The sequence below is a fragment of the Homo sapiens genome, chromosome 12, assembly GCF_000001405.40.
Source record: "Homo sapiens chromosome 12, GRCh38.p14 Primary Assembly".
NCBI classification, from domain to species: Eukaryota; Metazoa; Chordata; class Mammalia; order Primates; family Hominidae; genus Homo; species Homo sapiens.
In genome coordinates, this window is record NC_000012.12 from 7,084,651 (window position 1) to 7,094,553 (window position 9,903).

The 9,903-nt window shown below is 52.1% G+C and overlaps 1 protein-coding gene across 2 annotated transcripts in view, besides 1 other annotated feature; it reads right to left on the bottom strand.

The window, feature by feature from the left end:
- Positions 1 to 7,795, bottom strand: part of C1R (complement C1r) — a 12,227-nt gene extending 4,432 nt beyond the window's left edge. Inside the window, exons 1-9 of one of the 2 annotated variants that reach the window (NM_001733.7) lie at positions 7,737 to 7,795; positions 6,802 to 7,030; positions 5,406 to 5,598; positions 4,937 to 5,083; positions 4,643 to 4,839; positions 4,189 to 4,336; positions 3,960 to 4,081; positions 1,729 to 1,807; positions 1,211 to 1,366 (exon numbers count right to left, since the gene is read on the bottom strand). In NM_001733.7, coding sequence (NP_001724.4) covers positions 1,211 to 1,366; positions 1,729 to 1,807; positions 3,960 to 4,081; positions 4,189 to 4,336; positions 4,643 to 4,839; positions 4,937 to 5,083; positions 5,406 to 5,598; positions 6,802 to 7,030; positions 7,737 to 7,738 — 1,273 coding nt within the window. In that variant the 5' untranslated portion in view covers positions 7,739 to 7,795. Of the gene's footprint in view, positions 1 to 1,210; positions 1,367 to 1,728; positions 1,808 to 3,959; positions 4,082 to 4,188; positions 4,337 to 4,642; positions 4,840 to 4,936; positions 5,084 to 5,405; positions 5,599 to 6,801; positions 7,031 to 7,122; positions 7,244 to 7,736 lie in introns of those variants that run through there. The other variant, NM_001354346.2, reaches the window with a different exon arrangement.
- Positions 7,843 to 8,137: an enhancer, noted in NCBI's record as "tiled region #13442; HepG2 Activating non-DNase unmatched - State 4:PromP". NCBI's record gives its function as "activates a minimal TATA promoter and a strong SV40 promoter by Sharpr-MPRA in HepG2 cells {active_cell/tissue: HepG2}" and the evidence as "EXISTENCE:reporter gene assay evidence [ECO:0000049][PMID:27701403]".

Sequence of the window (9,903 nt, forward strand, 5' to 3'; positions counted from 1 at the left end):
GTAGTGGTGATGGTGTTGGTAATGGTGATAGTGGTGATGGTGGTGATGGAGGTTTTAGTGTGGTGGTGACGATGGTGTTGGTGGTGGTGATGGTGTTGGTAATGGTGATGGTGGTGATGGTAGTGTTGGTGTTGGTAATCATGATGGTGATAATGAGAGTGGTGATAGTGGTGTTGGTAATGGTGTTGGTAATAGTGGTGGTGATGGTGTTGGTAATGGTGGTAGTGATCATGGTAGTGGTGACAGTGGTGTTGGTAACAGTATAGTGATGATGGAAGTGGTGTTAGTGTGGTGGTGATGATGATGTTGGTAATGGTGATGGTGCTGATGATGGTGTTGGTGGTGATGGTGGTGGTGATGGTGGTGTTGGTAATGGTGGTGGTGATCATGGTATTGTTGACAGTGGTGTTGGTAATGATAGTGGTGATGGTGGTGATGGTGGTGTTAGTGTGGTGGTGATGATGATGTTAGTAATGGTGATGGTGGTGATGATGGTGTTGGTGGTGATGGTGGTGTTGGTGTCAGTAATGGTGGTGGTGATAGTGGTGTTGGTAATGCTGGTGGTGATAATGGTAGTGGTGATGGTGGTGTTGGTAATGGTGGTGGTGATCATGGTAGTGTTGACAGTGGTGTTGGTAATGATAGTGGTGATGGTGGTGATGGTGGTGTTAGTGTTGGTGGTGATGATGATGTTGGTAATGGTGATGGTGGTGATGATGGTGTTGGTGGTGGTGATGGTGGCATCGGTGTTAGTAATGGTGGTGGTGATAGTGGTGTTGGTAATGGTGGTGATAATGGTAGTGGTGATGGTGGTGTTGGTAATGGTAACAGTGTTGATTGTGGTGATGGCGGTGATGGTGGTGATTGTGCTGGCACTGATGCTATTGGTAGTGTTGCTGGTGTTGTTACTGGTAGTGGTGGTGATGGCAGTGATGGTAGCAATGGGGGTGTGGTGGAGGCAATGGTGGTAGTGGGGATGATGTGGTGACAGTGAGCTGTTTATGCGATTTGAATCTTTTCTTTGCATCAGCTCAGATGCCTCCTTCTTCAAACCTACTAGGTTCCTGTTAGCACTATAATTTAGGCCCCTGAAGCCAGTGCCCTGGCAGATACCTTAATATGCATTCCCTAGGGATTCTACTGGGAGAAATCTCAGAGGATACCCCAAGGGGATGGAAGGGAGGAAATTTCCATTCGCATTGGTCCCTACCTTGCTCAGACTCCCTGCTGCCAGCTCTGGTCTGCATCTTGTAATATGGCTCATGGCAGTAGTACTGGATACGGGCCTTGTAGGTGTTCACTCCCATTGTGGTGGTGTAACGGAAGTCACCATTAGGCAGGTTTCGGGGCTGCCCACAGTCCTTGACTTGGAGAGAACACAGGGCAGGGTGAGAGCTGAGAATGACTGTGCTGGAACTTCAGTGAGGGGAGTGTGAGTTGTCTACCTGCAGAGCAGGCTCAGAAGCTTAGAAAAGATAGTCAGTGGGGAGGGCCCTTGCAATGGACAGGAGTTGGGTGGTATGAAATTCAATTCTGGGTAGAGCCCATCCATCCCACTGAGATGAGGGCTCACTGATTCCTGAGATGGCCCATAGGCATCAAAGGACAAGTCAGGGTGAGGGTCTCTTGGAAAGAGGCTTAGTCTGGACCCCTCTTTCTTTCTTGGCCCAGGTCCTCAAGGCAGGAGGTGGGAGGTCCCCAGGGTCATATCCCTGAATTGTGACTTACTCTTGCATCTGGGCATGGCACGATGCCACGTGCCATCATCCTGGCAGACAGCTGTGAAGGAATGCAGCACCTGGTTCCCCTGTTGAGCAGAGGATAGAGGTGCCATCAGTGCCAAGAGGCAATGGAGGTCCCCTTCCTGCCCTTTCCACACAGGAGTGGGAGGCAATACCAAGACATCTCTTGGCTCCCCCATGGATGTGGCTCCCCCATGGATGTGGCTCCCCCATGGATGTGGCTCCTTCTTCCTTCTCCCCAGCCCATTACAGACAGGAGCATTGAGCCACACCACAGCAAGTCAGAGCAGAGCTAACTGATAGACCTGATCATCCTCTCTCTAGACTGTGGCCTGTTCCTACTGAGGTCCAGTTGAATCCCACAATTTGTAATTTGAAAAAATCACAAGCCACGTTTGAGTGTTTTCTGTATCAAAACAAAAGCCTGTGCTCCAGGGCAGAACTGTGTTTCTCTTGCTGGTGTCCCCTGCCTCCAGGCGTGCATCACTTTATCTCTCCTGGGTTGCAGTTTTCCTAAGGACAGAGGCCTTCCCTAAAATACTAGAGCCACCTCGCAGCTTTGAAAGGTGCTGGAGACGTTGATGTATGTGAAGTGCTGTTGCTATTGAGCAGGGACAAGACTAGGAAATGGCAGTCTTTGAAATGAAAAGTTACTGGACAAATGAATAAGTTTTACTAAGACCAAAATTCGGCCAGGTGCAGTGGCTCACGCCGGTAACCCCAGCACTTTGGGGGGCTGAGGTGGGCGGATCACTTGAGGCCAGGAGTTCGAGACCAGCCTGGGCAACATGGAGAAACCCTGTCTCTACTAAAAATACAAAAATTAGCTGGGCATGGTGGCGCACGCCTGTAATTCCAGCAACTCGGGTGGCTGAGGCACTTGAATAGCTTGAATCCAGGAGAAACACTTGAACTTGGGAGGCGGAGTTTACAGTGAGCTGAGACCATGCCACTGCCTGGGTGACAGAGCAAGACTCTCTCTCAAAAACAAAACAAGACAAAACAAAAAGACCAAAAATCATTCCATGGAGTTAGCCCTGGAAAAGGTTGTAAGAGAATGTGTATGAGAACTAGAACGTCTGAGTAAAATGTAGGTAATGTGAGAAACCGTGTGACTTGCTTTAAATTCTATGATGTGAATAACAAATGCAAAAGTAAGGGCAGTGGGTGGTGCAGGCAAGGGAGGGTTGTAATAGGAGCAAAGAGGTTGGTAGTCTCCATTCTTCTGGACCCAGGACACCCACCCAATCCTCCTGATGGAGCTGGAAGCACCTTGGAGTAAAGAACAATGCATCAGGTGAACTCGACTTGATGCAACATTCAAATGTGAGCTCCACAAAGGCTGTGTGACTATGTGGGTTTCTTTTTACTGAACCTCCCACATCTAGGACAGTGCCTGACAGTAGACACTTAAAGTGTGCATTAAATGAATTAACTGTGACTTAAGGACATATCCTAGGTCTCTTCTTTGATTCTGATTAAGTGTTCCATGTGGACCTGTTGAACAACGATGGGATGTCCAGTCTTGGGTCTCTGTCCAGAGACAGAGATTTTTAGTTTACCAGCTTTTGTGAGATTGATCAATGGATAAAACCATATTCCCTCCTGAATCTGCAGAGCCGAGGACAGGACGGTGGGCGCAGGGGGAGACCACCAACATGTGTAAAAGAGCCCCGGAGCAGGAGGCAGGAGATTGGCGTCCTAGTCCCTGCCGTACACAATCGCTACGTGATGTTGACGAGTCACTACATCTCCACCCTGCCTTTTCAGTTCCTTCAGCTCTCTTGAGTTATTGGACTAGGGCAATAGTTCTTAAACTTGGCTGTGCATTAGAATCACCTGGGTAGCTTTAAATAGTCTTGATGTTCAGGCTCTACTCTAGATCAATGGAATCAGAGTCTCTGTTGGGGGCCCTCATCTTCAGTATTTATTTGCTTATTTTTATTTTTCAGAGACAGAGTCTTGCTATATTGCTCAGGCTGGAGTGCAGTGGCTATTCACAGGGGCCTTGAATGAATGGGCTCAAGCAATCTTCCAGGATTTTAAACTCTCTGTTTTAAGTGTGCAGCAAGTTTGAGAGCTGGTGGACCAGGAGACTCTTCCAGCTGAAACGTCTACGACTCCAGCTGGGGTGAGACTAAATCCTCTGTGAACCCACCACCTGAATTCCTCCTGGGGTGCTGGGCCGGCTCTCTCCCCTCAGCCCTGGGCTCTTACCTCTATGAGCTGGTAGCCTTGCTTGCAGGTAGCAATGAAGTAGTCACGGAACTGGTACTGAGGCTGCAGGTTCTGGATGATGGTGAACTCGTCTAGGGTCTTGGGCTGGGGGCACTTGATGACTGTTGGGGAGACCAGGGGGCATATTTATTTCAGAGCCACTTGTCCTTCCTTCTTCCCCCCTTTTCCCCATTGCTGGCCATCGAGGGAGGCCTGCAGGGAGCCTTACTCTCGGTGGTGTAGCGCAGCTTCCAGCCCCGGCTGTCCCCCGACTCATCTGTGAAGAACAGCAGATCCACAGCATTGCTGCTGGTGTCGAGGTCGGGGGGCCTTTGCTTCCCACAGAACTCGCCAATGTTCTTCCCGTTGGCATAGATCTAGTAGGGGAGGAGGGTTTTTTTTTTTCAGCTTGGACGTTTTTACACAGGGCCAACTGGGTAGTAGCCTGGTGGCCAGGGTGGTGGTGGTGGTGATGAAATCCTGCCTTATGTGTGTTTTCAGGGGAAGGTGAAAAGGGATCCCCATGACCCAATTCTAGTTGTGTGGGAACTTACCCAGCCCATGGGTGATGTTGGCCGTTCCTGCCCCAGCTGGCCAGGGGATCCAGGAGGAAGTTGGGACAAGAGGAGCCAAGTGCAGACAGAAGGGGAGGAAGGGGTCTTTCAGGGGTAGGACGGCTGTACCTGTAGCTGGTCATAGGGGCAGTGTACTTGCTGGTGGTCATCAATATCAAAAGGCTCCAGGAACTTGAGGTGCAGGGTGAGGCCCCGCTCCACCCGGATGCTGTAGTTGCAGCGCAGGTCAGGGGGGTAGGACCGAGGGTACTCCAGGCTGGAGATGTAGCCTGATGCCTCCGTGTACAGCTCGCTGCTGCACTCAGCTGTGAGAGCAGAGCCACAGGGCATTACGGGGGACTCCAGCTGGCCCAGCAAGCCCTGGCTCAACCCCTTCCCCTCTGCTACACCACTCTGGCTCACCCTGGCAGGAATGCCTGTCTTCCTGAAGCTCATAGCCTGGACGGCAGGAACAGAAGTAGCCTCCAACGTAGTTGTGACACAGGTGCTGGCACTGGGGCTGGGGATCCTCCTCCCCTGATTTGCTCCGGGAAGCACATTCATCAAGGTCTGGAAGGCATTCAGGAAGGAGGGTTAAGCTTCTGCTGGGAGACCTGAGTAGTGGCTCTGATCTTAGGGAGGTCACTCACCAGAGACCTAAAGACAAAGGCATCTTTAGGCCACCTGGACCTCCAGGCCTCTCCAATGCTCTCTGGGGACTGCTCCATGGGGACAGAGCCCAGGTTGACAGGCCTCGTTAGGAAAAGCTCTCTCGAGGGGAGGAACAAGGAAAGCCAGGCTTTCGGCTTCTTTGCATTCAAGATTCCCTTTCTTGGCCCCCCATTCAATATGGCTGAGGTCAGAGAAAAGGGATCCCTGGGGGGCTACTCACCCACAGCTTGGTAGTAGGCCAGGAAGCCCTTGTAGAACATGATGGTCCCATTCTCCTCGTTGGAGAAGTCTGTGTGGAAGGTCAGCAGCATCTTGTTCCCTTGGGACATAAATTCCTTCTTTCCCGGGGGGTTGCCCAGTGGAGAACCCAGTTGCCCACAGAACCTCCCCAGGCTTTTCTTATCAGCAGAGATCTGGTGGAAGAAGGACAGGGGGTAGGAAGAAGATCTGTTGCGGAGTGGCGCACGTGGTGGCTCAGTGATGGTCCTCCTTGTCTCGCCCAGAGTGCATCATGCACCACAATGGCTCTGGCTGGTCACTACCTGCTGGGCTCAGCTGCTGCAAACTTCCCCATGTGACTTTCAGCTGTTCCCTGAGTCTCCCACTGACTCACTCTTTGCGTGTTGTCCTGGACTGGGTACCTCACCCTTTCCCTGTTTTCTGCTCCTCTGGCAGGTTTCAGGTCCTTCTCCATCCCCACCACCTCCTATGGCCTGTTCCCCTGGGGTCCTGGTTGTCTGTACCCAGCCTTTACCTGCCCCTCATTCCCAGAGCTCAGACAGCTCCGCTTTATTTTCTGTCTTCAGATTCCACCTCAGCCTAATCAAACCATTCACACCTCGAGTGCCTCCTGATGCCCTCGGCGGAACATGAGCCCTGAAGCCCACCCATCTCAGTGTCAGCAGGCACTGCCTCGTCCCTCTTCCTTCCTCCTCACAGCCTCCTCAACCTCTCCTTGACTCTGCCAGCAAACGCCCTCCCCCAACACTGCACACTCGCCAAGTCTTCTGAGCCGGTAAGACGTGCCATTGTCATGTAATTCACGCATAATCTCCAGGGGTCTCCTGGGAATGGTAGTTGTTGGACCTTCGCAGGCTCTGCTTGAGCCCTGAATCTCATTTTTACTGGATAGAGAAAGACAGGCCTGGGAAGGTACCCTTGGTTGCCACAGAGGTGAGGGTTCTGAGCACACTGTCCTTGCTGAAGGCTATTCCTGTGCTGCCAGAGCCCACATTTCTCCTCCTCATGTCCCTGTGTTCCTGTTGAAGCAGGCAGCCATGTCAATCATTTCCTTGGAGACAGGGAAGCTGAGGCACAGTGGTTTCCCAAAGACTCTCAGCTAGACAGCAGATGGGGAAGGTTTTCCTGACTCAGTGGATGTTGAATTTCCTGAGTGGGTCCTGTCCCCTTCCTTCTCTGTGCTTCTCCCCTCAGTGCTCACCGAGGGCCTCTACACCAGTGAGCGCCCATCCAGGGCATCCCCGGGCTCTCAGAGAGGCCGTTGGCCATCAGCTCTTGTGGGGCTGGGCTGTGTCTGGGGGTGTGCATGCCATACAGATCCCAGATCCCAGAGGGCCCAGTTTTGTCTCCCCTCTGCCCGCCCATCCTGCCCCTACCTTGACATAATCATAGAAGCAGCCTTCAGAAGGCTCCAGGTCAAACTGCTGGAAGACGAGCTTCACCCTGTATCCCGTGGGGACTGTGATCACAGTGGTTGTTTCAAAGTTGTTGGGGTAAGGCTTGGGGAACAGAGGGGAAGTCACCTCCCCAAATAACTTCTGAGGGATGGGAATGGAGCCTCCTGCCCTGCAGAACAGGGCCGGCACCAGGAGGTACAAGAGCCACCTGCCAAAACAAAAGAGAGTATCTGGAGCTGGAGGGGTTCAGCACTCTTGCCATGTGGGCAGTGGCTGTGGCAGGGGATGAGACGGCCATACCACTGGGCATTCTCCTCTCTGCCCACCCTGAACCTCACAGACATGTTCTCAGCAGGGGTGCGTGGGTGGGGAGGATGGCCTGTGCAGCTGCTGCATCGGGTCACTCTCCAGGGCAGTGTCCAGTCCAGAGGCCACCACACTCCCCTCACACTCCCTTTCCAGCCTCCTCCCCTGCCCGGACGCGTCCCTCCCCTCCCCTTCCAGGAATAGGACTGGCTTGGGACCAGTTAATGGAGGGTGAGGGTTTCCACCCGTGGGTCTCTGAAAGGGCTCCCACAGGTTCAGCAAGAGCGTCTGGGAGAAACCATCTGTGGAGTGGGGGACACAGGCACAGAGTGTCCCGTCCTGGGCAAGGGGTCCCCTCCTCTCGCTGCTCCCTGCCAAGAGCCCAGAGGGAAGAAAGGACCATGGCATGAGCATCTATGTATGAAGTCTCCTCTGATCCCTAGGAGGAGGGATGGGGCGTGTGTTGTGTGTGTCCACGCGTGTGCACAGTGGAACTGATGAGGTGTGTGAAGAGAGAAGGGTGTTCCTGTCTCCCTGAATTGCCTCCCATGCCCTGGCTTCTCCCCTGGCTTCTCCCTCCCACCTGGTTGCCCATCACCCTTACTCACATTTCTCAAGGCCCGTGTTGAATCCTGGGCTCTCCCGACAGCGTCTTCGTGCACTGTGTGCAGAGGGAGCCCGCGTCATGCACAGCAGGGAGGGGAGGGTTTTCTGTGGAGTGGAGGGGGGACCATTCCCGGAGGAATGTTGGAGGGAATGAACTATTTGCATAAACAAAAGATCTGAGTTTCCACTTTAATTTAGTTTTGGTTTTGAAATCCCTGTTTGTGGTGCCACCTGCTGGTCGGTGAGGGAAAGGGCTAAGGAGACGGGAGTCTGGCTTTTTAGGGCCCGGGGAGCCTTGGGTTGGAGGCCCAGATGTCTCAGTCTCTAAATCTGATCAGCTTCTCCCTTCTTCCAAGACTTTCCTGGGGGCTGCTGCTGTGTTTACAAGGTTCCTACCAAAGCAGTGGGAGACCACAGGTGGTGGTGAATTCTCTTTTCTGGGCTGTCCTTTCCCATTGACCCTGTTCTTCCTGCCCTCATTCAGCCCACAGCCCTGGTCCAAGAATGGCCCGGGTTTCAATGCCCAGGACGTAATGATAGGAACACTGGGGCAGAGGAGGGTGTGTGGGAGCGGGCAGAGGAGAGAGGAGCTTGGTTGCCTTGGGGCCCTGGCCTGCTTTAGCCATGAATGACACTTGGACATAGAATAGGGTTGGCCATGTCAGGGCAACCCTAAATCAGCCCTGGGTTTGAGACCCTCTGGGGCGGCTGCGGAGGGGGTAAAATGTCCCCATCTCCTTAGCATCTGCTCAACACAACTGCCAGGGCTGAAGCTAAGGATGCGGGTGTGGAGCAAGAGGGACTCGGTTTTTCTGAGATGAAGCCAGGCCCCTGGGAGGGAGGAGGGACCCTAGTCTCTCCTGTCCATCAGGCCATAGTGTCCTGCTTTAAAACTTTTGCTCTTGGCCACGTGTGGTGGCTCATGCCTGTGATGCCAGCACTTTTCGAGGCCAGGGTGGGAAGATCTCTTGAGCCCAGGAGTTCGAAACCAGCCTGGGCAACATAGTGAGATCTCGTCTCTAAAAGTTAAAATAAATTAAAAAACAATTTCATTGTTTTTGGAAGGCTTTCTTCATCAACTCTCCATGGCACCAAATATCTGATGGCACTTCATCCCACGGAGGGGCTTGGGCTGCAGAGCAGGACTCTGCGTTCTTAAGCCTTTGTAGGCTGTTCTGCTTGTTTCCCTTATTAGATGAATCCCTCCAACCTCCACCCTTCTGCCCCCACCCCCGTTCATCCATTTATGGGCTACCTGTTTAATGTGCAAGACACTTTCCCAGGCAATAGATTGCAAGAATTCACAGAGCTGATGCAGTTCCCCATCAGGCAGTGACCACATCATCAGTAGTTAGACAGCAGGCACACAGAAGGTGCAAGATCCACCAACGCTTGGAGGGTTTCTCCAGCAGGCCTGTGTGTCAGAGCTGAGGACTGAACCTAACGGAGGGCTGGTCTGTGATGGGATCAGCATATGATCCACAGCCTTGTTAGATCAGGAAAGACAAAAGATGGGGGAGAAGGAAAAGCACCAGATCAGAGGACGAGAAGGAAGGGGAATCTCGTCTAACAAACTGCACATTAATATCCTAGCAGCAGTTTGTGTGTGTGTGTGTGTGTGCACGCGCGCATGTGCCGTATGTTCATAATGGAGGCAGAGGGAACAGGTAAGGAGGTAAGTCTTAGCTGAAGCTCTTCCGTCCATCCTAGGGATTCTCAGTTCTGCGTTGGCATTGTGCAACACGCTTGGAGAGCGGCAAACCTGGATGTCATTAGCTCAGTCCCAGCCCTGTCTCCACTCTGCCCAACCATTCAAAATAACCTTTACTCACACATTTTTGTTATGTCCTTGACTTTGTTTTGTCCTTGACTCATACCAAGAAGGAAAAAAATGCCATATGAAATGCTGCTGCGTTTGTTTTAAAACAATTATTGAGGATATAGTCGGTTACAGTGTTTGTTCCTTTAAGGATTTGATTCTTGGGAAAAAGATTTCTCTCTTAAAGTAGTGGTAGGTTTTCCTCTGTGGATATGTCTCTATCGCTAGCTCATCTATCTCCATCATCTCTATCTCTTACCTCCCTCTCTCTCTCATTGTCGATATCTCTATCTCTAGACAGAGACAGCGATGGAGATGTAGAGATATAGATCTAGACATACACATATAAA